We start from the raw sequence: 22,514 nt of genomic DNA, 5'->3' as shown, positions 1-22,514 counted from the left end.
ACGTATAGCTACATTTATTTATATAAATGGATCTCCATGAAATAGTTGAGGGGAAGTAGCTGAAATGTAATACTTCATGGGAAAACAGCCTATGAAACAGCATGTATGGCCTGATGGAATTCATGTGAATGTATTTATATATGTTTTTTGGAACATTAGGTTTTGTAAAGTGTTAAAAGTGTCATTGATATTACATGGCCAAATATATTTGGAGTGTCAGTAATACTTATTAGTATATGAAGTCTCTGCAAAATTTTATAGTTTTTCTACTTTATTTGATTTAGCTTTCCAGATTTGACCAAACTATTAATAGTAGTGGGACAGGTGGTTTCTATGTTGTATGAATTCTGTACACCACTTTTAATACCTTTATATGGAAAAACAAACAGTATTTATTACCAAAAACCTGTGTCTGATCCAATTAAACTATTTCATAAACTCTAATACTTTAAAAAATTGTCATCTATTTGAGTAGCAAAATAGCCATAATTTGAAATGTTGTCACTGAAAGACTTCATATTACATCTTTGCTCTTGATTATGGGTCACATTTTTCTGTTTCTTGGTCTCTGATTTTTTATTTGCTGTCAGACATTGTGAAAAAGGACAGTACAGACTGAAGTATTCTGTCAGGTCACTAGTGTTAGGGGCTGAGTCAGTTCAGTTTGGGATGGGACCTTGTTGCAGTTTTAGTTGTCTTTAGTTTACCACTGGTATCAGATGTTGTGAAGGCAGGATGAGGACACTCCCTTTATTAGAGTTTGCCATCTGAGTACCTGTGAGATTCAGGCAATCTCGCCATCCTTTATAGCCCACCCCAGCCTTTATAGCCCAGTTTGTTGTACTGTGGGAGATCCCTCTCTGTTTCACAGCACAGCTGTTGGCATTTGGAGCAGCTGGGACATGTTTTTTTTTTTTCTCTCTCTCTAGCCCCACTTCTGGCTTCGGTCCTTACCTCTGGAGAGAGCACTGAACTAATACCCTGCCACCTTCCTTTGGCCACCTTACACTTAGTGTGCCACTTGAACAGGGGTTTCTCTCAGCTCTTCTGCCTTGTCCTCAGCATTCTGTGGTCCCATCGCCTCACCTTCCCTTATTCAGCTTCAATACTTGGAAGGGATCCTATTGGGAAAGTGCAGATTTGCTTTGTGAATGAGATTTCTGAGATTTTAATCTATCTTGCCCCCGTGTTCCCCTTGAAAAGTCTGTTAAAAGTTGGCTGGTTTCCCCCTCCTATTGCAGGTTCACTTCTCCTTTCACCATGATCCCAGCCCTGTTTTCTTTTCCAGAAAGGGCTTGTTCCTCTAGAATTTAGTTGATTTATTTTCTTTGCATCCTCAGCTTTCTGAGTTTAAAAAACTATGATTTTATAGTTTGTCTGGCTCATTCTTACTGTTAAGCTGGGAGCAACAACAGTCTTTTGTGAGCGTCTATATCATAACCATAAAGCGCTAATCCTGATATATTCTGTTGTGTTCAGCATAATTGGTATAGGTCATATTGAAATTATTTAGCCAATTATTTCAGTAAAGCTCCACTCAAATGAAATATTGACCATATTTAGGCTTGATGGAAAACTGATATAAATGCCTGCTAACACGACAGTTAAAATGTTTTTATTGTGATAAAATATACAAAACAAAATTTGCCATTTTAGTTATTTTTAAGCATAAAGTTCAACGACAATTAAGATTGAAATTTTGTGTAACCATCACAACTATTTCTAGAGCTTTTTCATGTAAGTAGAATCATATAATATTTGTCCTTTTGTGTCTGACTTAGTTCCCTTAGCATAATGTTCTCAAGGCTCATCTGTGTTGTAGCATATGTCAGAACTTCATTTGTTTTTATGGCATCGTATGTATATGCCACATTTTGTTTATCCGTTGATTGGCAGTTTGTTTTCACCTTTTGGCTGTTGTGAATAATGCTGCCATTAACATTGGTGTACAAGTATCTGTTTGAGTCCCTGTTTTCAGTTTTTTTTTTTTTGGTATATCCCTAGGAGTAGAGTTGCTGGGTCATATGATTATTCTGTGTTTAGTTTTTTGAGGAACTACCAGTTTTTCACAATGGCTACACCATTTTACAGTTGCATCAGTGTTCCAGTTTGTCCACATCCTCACTGACACTGCTTTCTGTTTGATAGTAGCCATCCTAGTGGGTATGAGGTGGTATCTCATAGTGGTTTTGGTTTGCATTTCTCCAATGAGTAATAATGTTGAGCATCTTTTTATGTGCTTATAGGCCATTGGTATATCTTTGGTGCGATGTACATTCAAGACCTTTACCCATTTTTAAATTGGGTGTTTGTTTTTTGCTGTTGAGTTGTAGCAGTTCTTTCTGGATATTAAACTCTTGTCAGATATATGATTTGCAAGTATTTTAACCCATTCTGTGGGTTGTTTCACTCTCTTTACTATCATTTTAAATTTAAAGTCCAATATGTCTGTTTTTGGGGGTCTTTTTTGTTGTTGCCTGTGCCTTTGGTGTCATATTTAAGAAATCATTGTGAAATCCAATATCAGGAATATTTCTTCTAAGAGTTTTACAGTTTTAACTCTTATATTTAGGCCTTTGATTCATTTTCAGTTAACTCTTGTATATGGTGTAAGGTAATGGTCCAGTTTCACTCTTTTGCATGAAAACATCCAGTTTTCCCAGCACCATTTGCTAAATAAACTGCTCCCTCCCTATTGAATGGTCCTGGTACCTTTGTCAAAAATCAGGTGTGAGAGTCTGTGTTTGGGTTCTCAATTCTATTCTGTTGGTCTATATATATCTATTCTTATGTCAATACCATAATGTTTTGATTATTGTAGCTTTTTATCTTTTTATTAGGTCTTGAAATGGGGACACATAAGACCTCCACCTTTGTTCTTCTAGTTCAAAACTATTCAAGGTTCCTTGGAATTCCATATAAATTTTAAGATATCGTCGTTGTCTTGCTTTTTTTTTTTTTTTAAATTTGAGACAGGATCCCACTATCACCCAGGCTGGAGTGCAGTGGCATAATCATAGCTCACTGTAAACCGGAACAAATTTTAGACCATGTTCTTTTTCTGCAAAAGAGCACCATTGAAATTTTGATAGAGATTGCATTAAACCTGTAGATCATTTGGATAATGTTGACATCATATTAAGTCTTCCAATCCATGACTATGGGATATACTTTCATTTATTTAGGTTTCTTTAATTTTATTCAACAATATTTTGTAATTTTCAGCATATAAGTCTATCACTGCATTGGTTAAATTTATTCCTAAGTATTTTACTGTTTTTGATGCTATTCTAAATGGATTCTTTTTAAAATTTCCCTTTCATATAGTTCATTGCTAACCTATAGAAATACAACTGATTTCATCATGGCAGTTTTCTTTCTACATCTTAAGGAAATTAGTTTATTAGCTCTAATGGGGTTTTATTTGTGGATTCTTTAAGGTTTTCTTCATATAAGATCATGTCATCTCTAAATAGGGATAGTTTTATTTTTTCATTTCCTATTTGGCTGCCTTATATTTCTTTTTCTTGCCTAATTGTTCTGACTAGAACTTCCAGCACGGTATTGAATAGAAGTGGTGAAAGCAGGCATCTTTGTCTTGTTTTTTATCTTAAGAGAAAAGCTTTCAGTCTTTCACCATTGAATACGATATTAGCTGTGAGTTTTTATATATGGCCTTTTCATGTTGAGGAAATTCCTTTCTCTTTTGTTTATTGAGTGATTTTATCATGAAAGGGTGTTGAATTTTGTAAAATCCTTTTTTTTTTTTTTTTTGCTAAATCAATTGAGAAGTTCATGTGGTTTATCTTCATTTTGCTAATGTGATGTATTACATTAGTTGATTTTCTTTTTTTTTGAGACAGGGTTTTGCTCTTGTTGCCCAGACTGGAGTGCAATGGCCCAATCTCGGCTCATTGCAACCTCCCCCTCCTGGGTTTAAGCGATTCTCCCGCCTCAACCTCCTAAGTAGCTGGGATTACAGGCATGCGCCACCATGCCCGGCTAATTTTGTATTTTTAGTAGAGACGGGGTTTCACCATGTTGTCCAGGCTGGTCTCCAACGCCTGACCTCAGGTGATCTACCTGCCTTAGCCTCCCAAAGTTCTGAGATTATGGGCGTGAGCCACTGCGCCTGGCTACATTAATTGATTTTCTTATGTTGAACCACCGTCGCATTCTTGAGACAAATCCTGGTTCATTATATACCCATTTGGTATAATCTTTTTAATAAGCTGCCGAATTCAATTTGTTAGTATTTTCTTAAGGATTTTTGCATCTATATTTATAAAGGATACTGACTTGTAAAATTTTCTTTTCTTACGATGTCTTTGTTTGGCTTTGGTGTCAGGGTAATGTTGGCCTTATAGAAGTCAAGAAGTGTTACCCCCTCTTCAGTTGTTTAGGAATAGGTTGTTAATTCATCTTTAAATGTTTGGTAGACTTTACCAGTAAAGTCATCTGGTCCTGGGCTTTTTTGGTTGGAAGTGTTTTATACTGATTGTCAGCTCACTTCTTAGGTATATTTTGGTTGTCTCTTTCTTCTTGTGAGTTTTGCTGGTTTGTGTGTTTGTAAGAGTTTGTCTATTTCATTAAGCTATCCAATTTGTTAGCATATAATTGTTCATAGCATTCTTTTATAATCCGTTTTATTTCTGTATAATTGGTAGTGATGTTTCCACTTTCTGATTTTAGTCATTTGAGTGTAATCTCTTCTTGTTAGTCAGTCTAGCTAAAAATTTATTTTGTTGATTTTTTTTTTCTTTTTTGTTTTTTTTTTTTTTTTTTTGAGACAGAGTCTCGCTGTGTTGCCCAGGCTGCAGTGCAGTGGCACGACCTCGGCTCGCTGCAACCTCCACCTCCCAGGTTGAAGCAGTTCTCCTGCCTCAGCCTCCCAAGTAGCTGAGATTACAGGTACTTGCCTTGACGTCCAGCTAATTTTTGTATTTTAGTAGAGATGGGGTTTCACCATGTTGGCTAGGCTGGTCTCAAACTCCTGACCTCAGGTGGTCCACCCACGTCAGCCTCCCTGTGCCCAGCCTATTTTGTTGATCTTTTAAAGAACCAACTTTCTGTTTTGTTTTTTCTCTATTCTTTTTCTATTCTCTATTTTGTTTATCTCCAATTTGGACTTTATTATTTTCTTCTTTCTGCTAGCTTTGAGTTTTGTTTGATGTTCTTTTTCTAATTCTATAAAGTGTACCGTTAGGTTATTGAGCTCTTTTAATGTAAGCTTTTATAGCTATAAACATCCTCTTTACACTTCTTTAGCTACATCTCATATGCTTATGTATGTTGTGTTTTTGTTTTCATTTGCATGAGGGTCTTTTTTATATCTCTTGTGGTTTCTTCTTTGATCAGTTGCTTGTTTGAGAATATGTTGCTTAATTTCCACATATGCACAAATTTTCCGGTTTTCCTTCTGTTTCTGATTTTTAGTTTCATTCCATTTTGATTGGAAAAGAGCTTTTTATGATTTTAGTTTTTTAAAGTTTATTAAGACTTGTTTTATGGCCTGCCTTATGGCCTGTCCTGGAGAATGTTCCATATGCGCTTGAAGAGTGTGTATTCTGCTTGTTAGGTGGAGTGTACTATGTATATCTGATAGGTCTAATACAATAGGTATATAGTGCTGTTCAAGTCCTATATTTCTTTCCTCCCCTTCCCCTCCCCTCCCCTCCCCTCCCTTCCCCTCCCTTCCCCTCCCTTCCCCTCCCTTCCCCTCCCCTCCCCTCCCTTCCCTTCCCCTTTCTGTGAGACAGAGTCTCACTCTGTCGTCCAGGCTGGAGTGTGATCCTGGCTCACTTCAACTCTGCCTCCCAACTTCAAGCAATTCTCCTGTCTCAGCTTCCTGAGTAGCTGGGATTACCGGCATGCACCACCACACCTGGCTAGCTTCTTTTGTATTTTTAGTAAAGACGAGTTCTCACCATGTTGGCCAGGCTGGTTTGAAACTCCTGACCTCAGGTGATCTGCCCGCCTCTGCCTCCTAAAGTGTTGGGATTACAGGCATGAGCCACCACACCCAGCCACGTCCTGTATTTCTTTATAAATCTGTCTGGTTCTTCTGTCCAGTACTTAAAATAGGATATTGAAGTCTCCATCTATTATTGTAGAGTTGTCTGTTTCTCCTTTCAATTCTGTTTTTGCTTAATATATTTTTAGTCTCTGTTTTTAGGTGTGTAAACGTTTATAATTGATATAGCTTAATGTATCGAACCCCTTATAATATATGATGGCCTTCGTGTCTTGTTATCATACTCTGTTTTGTCTGACAAAAACATAGCTACACTTGCTCTTTTTTGGTTACTATTTGCATGGAATATTTTTTCCTATCCTTTCACTTTCAGTTTCTTAGTGTCTTTGTATCCAAAGTGCTTCTCTCTCTTTTTTTTTTTTGAGACAGAGTCTCCCTCCCTCACCAGGCTGGAGTGCGGTGGTGTGATCTCGGCTCACTGCAACCTCTGCCTCTTGGGTTCAAGTGATTCTTCTGCTTCAGCCTCCTGAGTAGCTGGGACTACAGGCACCTGCCACCATGCCCAGCTAATTTTTGTATATTTAGTAGAGATGGAGTTTCACCATGTTGGCCAGGATGGTCTTGATCTCTTGATCTCATGATCCACTTGTGTTGCCCTCCAAAAGTGCTAGGATTACAGGCGTGAGCCACCATGCCCGGCCTTTTTTTTAGTGGAGTTTTGCTCTTGTTGCCCAGGCTGGAGTGCAGTGGTGGAATCTTGGCTCACTGCAAGCTGCGCTTCTCGGATTCAAGCAGTTTTCCTGCCTCAGCCTCCTGAATAGCTGGGATTATAGGTGCACGCCACTACGCCTGGCTAATTTTATTTATTTATTTATTTATTTTTTGAGATAGAGTCTCACTCTGTCACCCAGGCTGGAGTGCAGTGGCATGATCTCAGCTTACTGCAACCTCCACCTCCCAGGTTCAAGTGATTCTCCTGCCTCGGCCTCCCGAGTAGCTGGGACTACAGGCGTGTGCCACCATGCCCGGCTGTTTTTTAGTATTTTTAGTAGAGATGGGGTTTCACCATGTTGGCCAGGCTGGTCTTGATCTCCTGACCTTGTGATCTGCCCGCCTCCGCCTTCCAAAGTGCTGGGATTACAGGCGTGAGCCACTGCACCTGGCCAATTTTTGTGTTTTTAGTAGAAATGGGATTTCACCATGTTGGCCAGGCTGGTCTTGAACTCCTGACCTCACACGATCCACCCACTTCCCAAAGTCCTGGGATTACAGGTATGAGCCACTGCACCCGGTCTCTTATAGACAGCATTTAGGTGGATTGGGTTTTTAAAAAATCCAGTCTGACAATCTCTGCCTTTTAATTGAAGAGTTTAATTCATTTACATTTAAAATACTGATAAGGAAGAACTAATTTTTCTAGTTAGCTATTGTTTTCTGTATGTCTTATTTGTTTCTAACTCCTTAATTTTTTTATTTTTGCCCTTTTATTGCACTTTGCTAATTTTTAAAATAGCATACCATTCTAATTCCTTTGTTTTTTTTCTTTTCTGTAATATTTTATAGTTAGTTTTTTAGTGGTTACCTTGAGGATTATAGTTAACATCTTAAAATGATAGTAACCTCATTTGAATAATACCAACTTAGTAGTATATAAATAGTCTGCTCCTGTATATCTCTGTCTCTTCCCTTTTATATTGTTATTGTCACAGATTACCTTTTTATATTTTATGTGCCCAGCAGCAGATTTATAATTTTTTTTACCTTTTAAGATAAATGCAAATCAAAATCACAATGAGATAACATCTCACACCAGTCGAATGGCGATTACTAAAATGTCAAGAAACAACAGATACTGGCAAGGTTGCGGAGAAATAGGGATGCTTTTACACTGTTGGTGGGAATGTAAATTAGTTCAACCATTGTGGAAGACAGTGTGGCGATTCCTCAAAGATTTAGAACCAGAAATACCATTTGACCAGCAATCCCATTACTGGGTATATACCCAAAGGAATATAAATCATTCTGTTACAAAGATACATGCATGTGTATGTTCATTGCAGCACTATTCACAACAGCAAAGACATGGAATCAACCCAAATGCCCATCATTGATAGACTGGATAAAGAAGATGTGGTACATGGACACCATGGAATACTATTCAGCCACAAAAAGGAATGAGATCATGTCCTTTGCAGGGACATGGTTAAGGCTGGAAACCATTATGCTCAGCAAACTAACACAGAAACAGAAAACCAAACACCTCATGTTCTGACTTATAAGTGGGAGGTGAACAGTGAGAACATATGGAAACAGGGAGGGAAACAACACTTAACTGAGGCCTGTCGGAGGAGGGCAGGGGTAGGGAGAGCATTAGGGAAAAGAGCTAATGCATGTTGGCCTTAATACCTAGGTGATGGGTTAAGTGCAGCACACCACCATGGCACATGTTTACCTATGTAACAAGCCTGCTCATCTTGCACATATACCCCAGAACTTCAAAAACAACAACAATAAAATAATTAAAAAAACAAGAAAAGCAAAAAGTTAAAAACCAAAAGTGCGTTAATACTCTCTTTTATAATTACCTGTGTAATTACCTTTACCAGTGTTATGTCTTACGTCCTTTCATTATAGCCTGAAGGTTTCCCTTTATCTTTCTTGTAGAGTAGGTCTACTGGTAACATACTTCCTTGGCTTTTATCTGGAAATTTCTCCTTCATTCTTAAAGGATAGTTTTGCTGAATATAAAATTCTTGGTTGACTTTTTGTTTTCTCTCTGGATTTAAAATATGCCGTTCCTATTGCTGCCTGGTCATCACAGTTTATGATGACACATCAGCTGTTAATCTTACTGAAGAGCCCATGTATATGTCTAGTTGCTTTTCTCTTGCTGCTTTCAAGATACTTTATTTGTCTTTGGGTTTCTACACTTTGGATATAATGTGTCTGAATATTGTATCTCCTTTGAATTTATTCTTGGATTTATTTGAAATTTTTGGATGTATGTATTCATGTCTTTCATCAGCTTTGAGAAGCTTTTCACCGTTATTTCTTCAAATATTTCCCCCTTTCTTTTATCTTTGGGGGCTCCTATGCTGTGTAGGTGGGTACACTTGATAGTGTCCCTGTCCGGTAGGTTCATCAGGCTCTATTCATTTTTCTTCATTCTTTTTTCTTTGTATCCCTAAGACTGGATAATTTTAATTGCCTTGTCTTCAAATTTGCTAATCATTTTTTCTGCCTGTTCAAATCTGTTGAACCACTCTAGTGAATTTTTAAATTGTAGTTATTGTAATTTTTAGCTTTGGAATTTTTGTTTGATTCCATTTTATAATTTCAGTCTCTTTACTGATATTCTTGTTTTGCTCATACATTGTTTTCCTGATTTCCTTCAGCTCTTTGAGTATATTTAGGACAGTTGATTTAACATTTTTGACTAGCAATTCCAAATTCTGTGCTGCTTCAGGTTTCTGTCAAATGCTTTTTTTCTTAATGGGCCATGCTTTCCTGTTTGTGTGCTTTGTGGTTATTTGTTGAGACCTAGCCACTGTAGTACAATGTGGTAACTGTGGTTATCAGATTCTCCCACTCATCAGGCCTTTCTTGGCTAGTTGAAGGCTGTTGTCATCCCTTTGTGACTTTCCAAAACCATTTTTGCAAACTGTGTATTTCTTGTGTGTATAGTCACTGAAGTTTCTATTACATTATCTCTGTAGTAAGTCAGTGACCTGACAATGATATAACAATATCTGGTTTAAAGAAGAAGGTGCTGTCTTATTAGATCTTCCAGTAGATGCAGGTGCGCCTCCCCTGCCCGGTAGCCCCAGAGGGCCTAAATAAAGGCAAGCATCTGCCTCTGTGCCTGTCTCTCAGTGATCTGCCAAACTGACCAAAATATTCAAACTTGAATTTTTGGAGGACAAAATTCTCCCACTGCCTGCTATGGCACTAATAAGTCGCTCCAGAGATGGGGGCTGCTATTCCTTACTGTTGTGGCAAAGCTGAGAAATGGGGAATGGTAGCTACTGGTTTGCCCATGTGAGTCAAGATCAGCAGCCTCTGCATGAAGCACTTTCCTGGTTGTTTTTAGTGTCTAATTAGGTTCCATACTTGGAAGATAGTTGATTCTTGTTGTTTTTCCAGTTTACTGGTTGTTTTTGGTACAAGAACCAAGCTCTAGAGCATTCTTCTCTGACATTTTACACCTCAAGTGTCATAATAAACTAATATTGTCTTTCTTATGGTATTTTTGAATGGAGGAAAATCTTTGGTACATTTCTTTTTTTCTAGTTTGTGTGTTTCACTATTCATACTATCAAAAGAAAAGAATCAGCCTCAGATTTGAACACATCAAGGATTAATTTTTTTTTTTAAGACAGAGTTTCTCTCTTGTTGGCCCAGGCTGGAGTGCAATGGCACAATCTTGGCTCACTGCAGTCTCTGCCTCCTGGGTTCAAGCGATTCTCCTGCGGCAGCCTCCCGAGTAGCTGGGATTACAGCATGCACCACCACACCCAGCTAATTTTATATTTTTAGTAGAGACGGGGTTTCTCCATGTTGATCAGGCGGTCTTGAACTCCCAACCTCAGGTGATCCGCCTGCCTTGGCCTCCCAAATTGCTGAGATTACAGTCGTGAGCCACCACACTTGGCCAAGGATTAAAAATTTTAAGTGTTTGTATAAAAAACCTATAGCATGATTGAAATTTTAATTCAGTGCTCTGTCAGTGTTTTGTACAATCACTTCATGGTTTTGTTTGTTTGTTTGTTTGTTTGACATGGCATCTTGCTCTGTCACCTGGGCTGGAGTGCAGTGGCATGATCTTAGCTCATTGCAACCTCCACCTCCCAGGTTCAAGCGATTCTTCTGCCTCAGCCTCCCAAGTAGCTGGGATTACAGGTGCACACCACCACGCCTGGCTAATTTTTGTATTTTACTTTGTGTTTTATGCAAATAACAACATTGTCTCTAATGAAAAAAGTTTAAGTTTTAAACACTGGTTATTCCTCATTCTGTATGATTAGCTTACATGTCCTAGAGTGTGTTGGGTATTTGTCATGGCTTAATTATTGTGGGGAAAATAACAGAATATTTGCTTACATGCCACTTAATGAGTTCACTTTTTTTACAGTAGTTTTTATTTATAGTCATCGTTGCTGAAAATGTTATGAAGAAATAAATCTGTCTTTATCTCTGTTTGATATTTCAGAAAGACTGACAAAAGCAACATTACGTGGAATAATCTTAGTTTCCCAATAAATCCTAGATTTTATTCTTCACAATACTTGATTTGTTCTACGTGTATGTTTTGCTTATTTACCTAAAGGAAAGTCATTTAGTCATTTAAAAACAATATTTAGCCTTTTCTTTAATATTTTGCAATTATTAACAAAAAATTGTTTTAAGAATATTTCAAAAACATAAACAGTGGATTGCCACTCTAATAAGTCCTTTTATATTAGAGTAGCTTGACTATAAGGTGAAATTGTATGCAAAGAGTTTCTTACTGCAAGTGCTGAGAAAACCACACTATAACACCATTTTTACAAGTAAAGACTCATACTAGAACATCTAGTTTGGGAGTATTTTTAGCTGTTATCTTCTTTTAAAACAGTGTATGGTATGCATATTTTTCTATTCCTAAGGCCCAAACTGAGTTGGCATTCTAGAATCATTATCTATATTCCTTAAGTAAATAGAATTCTTACCTTTCCTTAATTGTATAGCAGATAATCCAAGAACAAGTTTAGCCCAAGGCGAAGTAAGATAATTCATTATATTTGCATGTTCCTTTTATGTACTTATTGTTGATAACTGATTTTTGAACATTTTCAACTGTCTTTAAATGGAGAGTTATATGCTGTCATTCTGTAACCCTTTACTGCCCTTTTACCGTTTTAAATTTGATCTAAGTATTACAAAAAGCTAGAAGTGTTTTTGACATCTAGAAAAACATTAGTTTTGCAGTACACACACGTACATATATGAGACGTGTGTGTGTGTGTGTGTGTGTGTGTATGTATATGATAAGTGCTATGAGTAAAAACTAAGGATAGAGGAATAGAGTCAGAAAAGGGCCCTCTGAAGAATGACATTTACACTGAAATGTGAATATTTAGTCATTTACCATTAAGTCACACTGTTTAATCTATCTTAATATTCATAGAAACAATAGCGTAGGATGATGGCCTCCAGATTCATCCATTTATTCTAAGCAAACTAATGTAGGAACAGAAAACCAAATACTACATGTTCTCACTCATAAGTGGGAGCTAAGCAATGAGAACGCATGGACACAAAGAGGGGATCAACAGACACCGGGGCCTACTTGAGGGTGAAGATTGGAGGAGGGAGAGGATAAAAAAACTACCTATTGGGTACTATACGTACTACTTTGGTGACAGAATAATCTGCACAGCAAACCCCCATATATGCAGTTTACCTCTATAACAAACATGTTCATGTACTCCTGAGCATAAAAGTTAAAAAAAGAAATGATAGTGTAAAGATCTTCATAATCTCAAAAATTTTTATTAAACTGATAAAATATTTTAACCAAACTCTTGAGTGTTCCAATTTTAGATAATCAGTAATTTAGCACTGCCCTATTATAGTAAATATTAAAGATTAACCTTAAAGCCAGTGTAAGTAGTAGTTTTTATGTCACAAAAGGTGTTTTTAGTTTAGCATATGTGCCTTTGTTCTCAGCTAACGAAAAAAGTTGATATGCACAGTTCTACTTAAAGATAATTAGAAATGTCAGGGAACCTATTTCATTTGGGAATATTTTTTCTTTAATAATGATCTAGGCTGTGGTAATGAAATTCTTTATTATCTGTGTTTACAAATCATTGTAACTTAATTAAAATTTTACAATTATACCACAGATTAAAAATAGGAACAATTTGAAGATGTGATTTTATTTGAAAATTTTATAGTAAGGTTTAGCTTTATAAGTATTTTTCTCTTGCTTTTATGAATTAGAAATATCTTTCTTACTCCTGACAGAATATAAAATAAGTATAGTTAAAATTACTTTATAGACCAGGATTTTCTTCACTCTTTGATGATGAAATAAGTGCCATGCGTATTATTCTGAGTTAGAAGCGCATAGAATGTCCCCTGATACATTGTTCAAATGCACTATATGAAGAAAAGGTTAAGGTTTATGTGATTCTATTTTTTTCTCTTAGACTCTCTTAAAACCATGCTGACATAGAGCATATAAAATGCTCTATGTCAGCATTGTCCAGTAGAAATGTAATGTGCACCCCATATGTAATTTTTAAGATTTTTGTAGGCATATTTTTTGAAAACTTTTTAAAAGGCAGAGTTAATTTTGGTGATTTTTTTACTTAAACATCTAAAATATTTTTCAACATTATTTTATTTTATTTTATTGATTGATTGATTGAGACAGAGTCTCTGTCACCCAGGCTGGAGTGCAGTGACACGATCCTAGCTCACTGCAACCTCTGCCCCCTGGGATCAAGTGATTCTTATGCCTCAGCCCAAGTAGCTAGGATTACAGGCGTGCACCACCATGCCTGGCTAATTTTTATATTTTTAGTAGAGACAGAGTTTTGCCATGTTGACCAGGCTGATCTTGAACTCCCGGCCTCAAGTGATCCGCTCACCTCGGCCTCTCAAAGTGCTGGGATTACAGGCATGAGACACTGCGCTTGGCCCTCAACATGTTATTAATATAATAGTTATTAACTTTTTTTTGGTGAGGGATAATAAATGTTATTGTCTGAAGCCACTAAGGTTTTTTTTTTTAATTTTTAAAAAAGTTGTAAAATACACATAGCAAAATTCACTATCTTTACCATTTTTAAGTGCAGTTCAGTGGTATTTATTTCATATTGTTCTGCATCTATCACCATTTTCCATCTCCAGAATTCATTTCATCTTGCAAGATGTAAACTCTGTACCCATTAAAGAATAACTTCCCATTCCTGTCCTTCCCCCAGCCCCTGGCAACCAAAGTCCACTGTGTATTTTACAGCTGCAGCACAACTCAGTTTGGACTACGTACTTTTCAAGTGCTTATTAGCCTGCTGTTGGCTACAGTTTTGGATAGCTCAGTTCTGTGCTGTAATAGATACTGAATCCATTTATAGTTACTCTGTGTTACAGAATGTTACTGTTATATGAATTAATTCTGTAATAACATTTCTATAATACTTTGTTATTTTTGTCCTTATTTGTCATCCAGAACAATAGGCAGGTCCCGTGGTCAGCAAAATAGCAAAAGGGTCATTCAAAAATGGTGTGGCAAGATTCTGAAGTGGTGATGTCTGTATAGTCGGATAATGCAACTGTAAAATACACAGTGGACTTTGGTTGCCAGGGGCTGGGGGAAGGACAGGAATGGGAATTTATTCTTTAATGGGTACAGAGTTTACATCTTGCAAGATGAAATGAATTCTGGAGATGGAAAATGGTGGTAGATGCAGAACAATATGAAATAAATACCACTGAAACTGCACTTAAAAATGGTAAAGATAGTGAATTTTGTTATGTGTATTTTACAACTTTTTTAAAAATTAAAAAAAAAAAAACCTTAGTGGCTTCAGACAATAACATTTATTATCGCTCACCAAAAAAAAAGTTAATAACTATTATATTAATAACATGTTGAGGGCCAAGCGCAGTGTCTCATGCCTGTAATCCCAGCACTTTGAGAGGCCGAGGTGAGCGGATCACTTGAGGCCGGGAGTTCAAGATCAGCCTGGTCAACATGGCAAAACTCCATCTCTACTAAAAATACAAAAATTAGTGACTAGATGCCTGTGTTTGAAAAAGTTGGAGTCCGAAATGTTGGTAGTTATGAGCTACCATCTCTTAGGACTTTTTGCTGGGGCACGTAGATTTCTTGGAGTGTGCGTTGGGAATCCCCAAGACCAACCCATCATGCTTGATGATTTGCTCGAAGGACTCATAGAACTTAAGAGAAAAGCTGTTAAACTCATGGTTATGATTTGTTATGGCTAAAAGATGCAGATGAAAATCAACAAAGGGAAAAGGTATGTAGCTTGAAGTCCAAGAGGATCCAGATGTGAGCTTTCATTTGCCTTCTTCCAGTGGAGTTGCATGGGCTATGACAACATGCAAAGAGCTTCAACCAGGGAAGTTCACCTGAGTCTTGTTGTGCAAGAAAATTACTGTGGATCTATTAGATAGGCATGGAGTGCTCATATGACTGACTTTAGTTACTCAGTCTCCAGCCTCTCCTGCAGGTCCTTCCTCACCTAAGAAATCAAACTGATATAGTGTGGGCCAGAGCCCCAGGCATACAAAAACAAGCATTAACCATAATTCATATTGTTTATATAGATTACCTGATATGATCCAAGGTGTCAGTTATGTAGAGACACTCTTATCAGGCAGGATATTCCAAGGGCTCGGAGGTTATCTCCCAGGAGCCTCTCACAGACTAGTGCTTTTTTCAGAATGTGCAGAGTTAGAGTACCCCAAGCCTCCCTAGTTATTTCTTGACTGCACAGGATGATTTGGGAGCCTAACAAAGGAAGATGTCTCTAGTGTAAAGTAGTGTAAAGTCTTACAGAAACAAAGGGTAGATGAGAGTGGCAATAGCTCAGTACAACTTAAATATCTAGTGTGTTTAAACAAATGGCATGAGTTACTGACTGTCAAGGTAGAGCTATAAAGGTTGACTATCAGAAGTAAAGAATAGCATTTAGAGTAACCCTACAATTAACAGGTTTCTTAATTGGAATGAACTTCATGGTTTACTTTCTCCTTTGCTTGGGAAGTGCATATATTATCTCATCTAATCCACATCAAAACCTCCATTTCTGCCTATGATGGAGTAACTTGTAACAGACTAAAACTGCTGAAAACTAGAAATGCTAGGGGAAAAAATCATTTTGAAGGCATTGTAAAGCTTCTCAGTGAATCAACACTTGAAGAGTCAAGATTCAGGAGAGAAGGGAGACAGACACACTCTGTGCTGGTTTTCCTCTTGATCCATTTTCCAGCTCTTAAGCTATTGGGGGTAAGAAGATAAAAGCTGAGCAAGGCATAAGAGATGAGCAAAAAACGACTGAGGAAGTTGAATGGAGCTTTCAATAGTTTGTTGTGGTGGTGTTCTGGCCCTAGTGAAGAGCCACACCATAGAGTGAGGACAAATCAGAGGCCTACCTATCTTTGTAGTGTCTGAAACTCAGTCTCAAGTCAGCTCAGTCCCAATTGGATTGCATCAGTCTGCTCCTACAGAGACTGTTAAAAAAAATAAAAATTAAATCCTTTCTGGAGGAAGGTAACATCATCTGGAGGCTCTACGTTTTTTCCGTATACATATGCATATGATAACTCACAATGTCTTACATACAATAAAAAATTACTAAGCATACAAAAAGATCAAGAGAAGAAAATTGACAAGAGAAACAGATTGATAGATTGTTCAGACTTTGGAGTTAAAAGCAGGGGCTTTAAAATACTGTATTCGGTTCATGAAAATAGATGCTGAGGTGGAGAATTTCACTAGAGAACTGGCATCTGCAGGAAGGAGTCAAATGGAAATTCTAGAGCTGAAAAATATAGTAACTAAAACTAAGAGCACAACAGATGGGTTTAACTGCAGATTAGACACAGCTGAAAAGAGGATTTGTGAACTGGAGGATACGTTAGTAGAAAACATTAGGCATAAACTCGACTTTAAACTGAGCTAAGGAATAGAAACTTTTCAATATCTCACCAAAGTATGTCTCTTATTTTAGAGCATGTGGGTGAAAAGAGTCCTTATTAAAGTGCAGTCGCAACTCTTGCTATTTTAATGTGTATTTAGTATTTTTTGGTATTTTTATTTTAGTGGATTTTTAAAAAATTATTAAAAAACATTATTTAAGAGAGCATCTTATTCTGTCACTCAGGCTGGAGTGCAGTGGCACATTTGTAGCTCACTGCAGCCTCAAATTCATGGGCTCAAAGTGATCCTCCCACCCCAGTCTCCTGAGTAGCTGGGCATACAGGCAGATGCCACCATGCCTGGCTAATTTTCTTTGTTTTTTTCAGTAGAGACAAATTCTCGCTGTTTTCCAGGCTGGTCTTAACCTCCTGACCCCAAGAGATCCTCCTGCCTTGGCCTCCCAATATGCCAGGATTACAAGCATGAGCTACTATGCCCAGCTGGTTTCTATTTTAAAATATAATATGAAAGTAGTAAAATATAAAATTATTACTTATGTTTATTTGTGATACCTCCCCCCCCAGCTTTTAAGCAAAAATAAATTATTCTGTAACTAATATGCATAGATTACCTGTTCAGTAAACTCAGTTACTTAGAATAAATCCTTAGAATGAGAAAATAAGCAAAACATTTACAGCTATAAAATAGATATCTGGAGCTGGATGGTAAAACCCCTGTACTTTAATATAGAGGAGTTGTACGGCCCTTACTCTTGGTTGGTTGGGATAATGGTTATAGTGTGCATGGCAATCTGGTAAGCCAGCTCATCATAGAAATACCAAGTTAGAAAGGAAATTGTGGGTCAAGAATTTGGGTTTGGCATAAGTACCTTGTTTCATCATATCCAAGACTCTACTATGAATTATACCATTAATTTATGTACCTGTAAGAAAAAATACTGTCAGTTACATTTTGACATCACATTAATTGTGAGATACATTCTGATTTCAAAGATGTTAAAGTGTGAAGGAAAAAGTAAATGGTAATTCTGGTTTTAAATCTCAGTTCTGTCATTTATTTGTTTGACATGAGTCAGGGAACTTCTTTGAGCACGTTTCCTCATGTGTGAAAATGGGATAGTATACTTTACCTTTCAGAATTAGGAAGACACAATTAGAGATATGAAAGTGTCTGCTGTGTGGCAGGCATTCAGTACCCGCTAATTTGGCTTTCGTTTCTTCCTTCTAAAGCTTGGTTCTCTTAGGATGAAAGAGACACTTGAAAGCCTAACAAGTAAAAACAAAACCAAACTCTAATGTACTGGCTGTGTAAGAGCGTAAAAAGGAAAATTTCTTGTTGGAGCTGTTTAATTGTCAAACATTGTTCTTTGTCTTCCTCCATTACCTCACCCGCCTCCCTGTTATATCTGAAGATATCACTGGCTGGTTCCAATATAATGATTGATATTTATGTTATGGAACCTAAGCATCAAAATAATATTGATATTTTACTATAATGGTTTTTAAAATACACATTTTAAGAAAATTTCCAATCCTTCTAAACTTATTTGTGATGCTTAAAGTCCCACTCTTTAGTTACATGGAATTCCTGCTCTTCTGATGATGCCAAATAAATACAGCATTATTCGGAGTAGGTGAATCTTTTTAAAAAAGGGGTTGGATTTGGTGATGTTTGGCAGAAGTGAGAATTCCTCATTATATTCCTATTTTAAAGATTTCCAGTAAACCCAGGCGGTATTTTTCTTCAGTGGTAAAATATTTATAGCTTTAGTTTTGTGTTTATTCTTTTCTTTCAGGATTTTTCAAGCCACATTCAATTGATAGGATGAAAAAATTTAAGAGAAGGCTATCCCTCACACTCCGAGGAAGTCAGACTATTGATGAATCATTGTCTGAATTGGCTGAACAAATGACTATTGAAGAAAACAGCAGCAAGGATAATGGTAAATATTTGGCATAGGGGGAGATGCTTCCTCCTTTTAATTACTTTATGAATAGAATGTAAATTTACTTTTTAGATAAGTTCATAATAGCTTCCCTTTGTTTATTTCTGTCTCATTCCATGGTTTCTTAGGAAATTGAAGACTATATAACTTTTGTTTGGTTACTAACTGGAATATTTCCCTCTCACTCCAACATTACGATACCTGGTCTCAAACCCTGATGAATTGTTCTATTCCACATATCCTTCCATTTTTCACTAGTTCTTAAAGAAGAATGCATTTTATAATATTATCTTGATTGTTAAATAACTATTAATTTTTTTTATTCTTATAACCCAAGTTAATACAGCTTAAAAGTGCATAGGAAGTCTGTGAAATTTCTGTTTGTGGCTTCATCAGTTTCATAATGTTTCATGCATTTGACAGTGCTTTTTACAACATAAAGTAGTAGTATCCAGATGTTAAAATAAAAAGAGCTTGTTAAGTGTGTTAAATACAAAATCCTGGTGAAATTTCTAGAGGAAGGCTACATATTCAAATCTGAAATAGCCCTAGGGATGTCATAGTAGTAACTGGGAAGGAACTTACGTGACTGGCTTTCAGTGTGTCATGATGTGCAGAGTATCTGGCAGATCTTCCTTACCTGTGCCTGAAATTCTGCTGTTAGAGATTTGTGGCAGTGGCTGGAAAGCATGGACACCCTTACCCCTTCCACTAGAATGCACATACTTATGTTTTGAGAGAGGAAAAGGTATAGTGGAGTGGGCTCTGGACTTTTTAAAGTCATAGGTTTGGATTTTGGATACACTTAAACACTTCCTAGTTGATGACTGGCTAAGCCGTTTATTCTACCCAGGCTTCAGTTTTCTTATTTCCTTTACTCAGAAGGGTCATTATTTGCTCAAGGTTACCCAGCTCCAGAACCAGTACTTTAGAACCCAGGTTTCTTCACTTCAGAGTCTATAACAATGCTACTGTTCTGCAAGGACCCTTTCATTCATTTGTTAAGGTTTTCCTTGATAACATCTACCTTTTTTTTTTTTTTTTGAGACAGTCTCGCTCTGCTGCCCAGGCTGGAGTGCAGTGGCACAATGTTGGCTCACTGCAACCTCCACCTCCTGGGTTCAAGTGATTCTCCTGCCTCAGCCTCCTGAGCAGCTGGGATTACAGGCATGGGCCACCATGCCCAGCTAAGTTTTTTATTATTTTTAGTAGGGATGGGGTTGGGGTTTCACCATGTTGACCAGGCTAGTCTTGAACTCCTGACCTCAAGTGATCTGCCTGCCTCGACCTCCCAAAGTGCTGGGATTACAGGTGTGAGCCACCACGCCTGGCCTTGTTTTGTTTTTGTCATGGTGGGGAGGAGAGAGGGATGGGCTCAGTAGGAAATTTAATATAATAATTTGGATAGAATTATATGTAGGAGGGGAAAATTGTACATTTGGGTCAAATCTCAAACATCATGATTTTACTGTTGTTCCTCTTGCCAGAGGACCTATTCTAGATACACAGAGCAAAATCCTTAATTCTCTTTTAGACCCCCTCATTGAATTTTTGGTGGGACCCCCCCCCATTGAATTTTTGGTGGGAAGCGCAGTGTGCCTACTCTTAGGATAGAAGGGTCTTGCCAATGTGTTTGCCAATGATGATCAGGAATAAAATAAACACAGTATATATCTTAGTGGTTGGTTTCTGGGACATATTTTTAGTATTTGACTACAAGACAATCCTCTTTTCCTAAAGAAAAGATATGAGTCAAAGAAAATGAACGTATGTTTTAGCTAATATTTTAGACCAATTGCATATTTTCTAGAATATTTTGGTATTAACTATCATAAAACATGCTTTGTTTTTAACAAATGGTGAAAGATTAAAAATATTTGTTTTCTCAAGTTGTATATGTTTTTTAAAACTTATTTTATTACAGTAGTAACTTTTAATAGGTAGTAAATAAGGGCAAATAGGCGATCTATTGAGTTTCTCCTTGACCTTGAAGTAATACTTCAAGACGTCATAAGAGACATTGATTCCTCTTGGGTTACAAAGATTGCTAGTAGCATAGGCTACCATAATCTACTATGCTTATTTTCTCTCTGTAATAGCACATGGATTTCACCAACAGCTTTCACAGAGATTCTACACCTTTTTGGTCACCTGTCAGTGCCTGATAGCTGATTCCAACACATTCTTTTCTTGTGGAACATATTTTAGAGTATAAAAGCTGTTAGACAGGTCACATACACAGACACAGTCCATGCCAGAATACAGAGAATATAGCATAATGAATGACACGTATATACTTTTAAAGTTATCTTCTCACATACAATGTAAGCAGTTTATGAAGCAAAAGTGAGCTTTAATGCCAAATAGTAGCATAATGCTAGCTGAAGGAGTAGGAGGAATATACAGTCATGCATTGCTTAACAGTGGGGATGCATTCTGAGAGATACGTTATTAGGCCATTTCATCATTGTGCAAACATCAGAGTATATCAAAACTAGGTAGTATAGCTTACTACACACCTAGCCTACATGGTACAACCTGTTACTTATAGGCTACAAACCTGTACAGTGTATTATGGTACTGAATACTGTAGGTAGTTGTAACACAATGTTGTTTGTGTATCTAAGTGTATCTAAACATAGAAAAGGAAATGCATTGTGCTACTATGTTACAGCGGGTGTGGCATCACTGGCATCACTAGGCTATAGGAGTTTTTCAGGTCCATTATAATCTTATGAGACCACTGTTGTATATGATGTCTGTCATTGTCTGAAACGTCACATGGCACATAACAGTAGTTTATAATTTCCCTGAATAAACTGCCTTTGGACCAATTTTTGATCACTTGTCTCTTGATTAGTCACAGGCATGATCACAGTCCTATTACTCTTGCATATCTAGGCACATGGCTCTCATGCATACTCTAGATCCAGAACACATTAATTGGGGGTAATACTATAAACATGTTGGAGAAATTATGGGTATGATGCGTTTGGTTATACTTATACCCATAATCTCACTCATGCATGCTCTACCTCTATCCAAATACAATAGAATATCCCAAATGAGATATTATCTCTCTTATTTTGATAACTGAGTCATATATGAAGGTTTTTAACTCAGTTATAAATCTATAAATCAAATTACTTTGTCTATTTATAGAAACTAGTATGTTTGCACATTGACAGGTGGGTTGAACCCAAGGAATGATGAATCCTGAATTTGTATTCAGTATGCTAAAAAAAAAAAAGTTGAAAGTTTGCAAATTTGGTTCATTTAAGGATTCTGGCCTTAACTCAATACACCTTTCCCTAAATATGAAATAAAATTTTTGCAGAAAAATTTCCAAACTGAAATGTACAAAATATTTTTTTCTGTAGTGCCTGGAAGAAAAAGAATTTTGAGCCCATCAGTTTTCTTTTTACTAACTGAGAAGTGTTTAATGTTCAGTTTTTAAAAACCTGTCAAGGCCAAGCATGGTACCAGGCTTATGCCTGTAATCCCAGCACTTTGGGGAGGCCGAGGTGGGCAGATCACTGGAGGTAAGGAGTTCTAGACTAGCCTGGCCAACACGGTGAAACCCCGTCTCTACTAAAAATACAAAAATTAATGGAATGTGGTGGCGCACGCCTGTAGTCCCCCACCTGCTCAGGAGGCAGGAGAATTGCTTGAACCCAGGAGGCGGAGGTTGCAGTGAGCCGAGATGGCACCCCTGCATTCCAGCCTGGGTAACAGAGCTAGACTGCATCTCAAAAACAAACAAACAAACACACCTGTCAAAAATTAATTTACCTCAGTTCTTCAAAAAGTTAAACATAGACTTACTATATGACCCAACAATTCTGTTCCTAGGAATATACCCCAAATAATTGAAACAGGTAATCAAAGTCTTGTACACAAATATTTATATTTGTAGCAGC

General features: G+C 37.1%; 1 protein-coding gene across 5 annotated transcripts in view; it reads left to right on the top strand.

The window, feature by feature from the left end:
• Window positions 1-22,514, top strand: part of CDK17 (cyclin dependent kinase 17) — a 122,215-nt gene that overhangs the window by 47,130 nt on the left and 52,571 nt on the right. For all 5 annotated transcript variants that reach the window (NM_001170464.4, XM_017019407.3, NM_002595.5 and 2 more), the window contains exon 2: window positions 18,445-18,591. In NM_001170464.4, coding sequence (NP_001163935.1) covers window positions 18,474-18,591 — 118 coding nt within the window. In that variant the 5' untranslated portion in view covers window positions 18,445-18,473. The remainder of the gene's footprint in view (window positions 1-18,444; window positions 18,592-22,514) is intronic.

Source organism: Homo sapiens, chromosome 12 (genome assembly GCF_000001405.40).
Source record: "Homo sapiens chromosome 12, GRCh38.p14 Primary Assembly".
NCBI lineage: Eukaryota > Metazoa > Chordata > Mammalia > Primates > Hominidae > Homo > Homo sapiens.
This window is presented reverse-complemented; position numbering and strand designations above follow the sequence as displayed.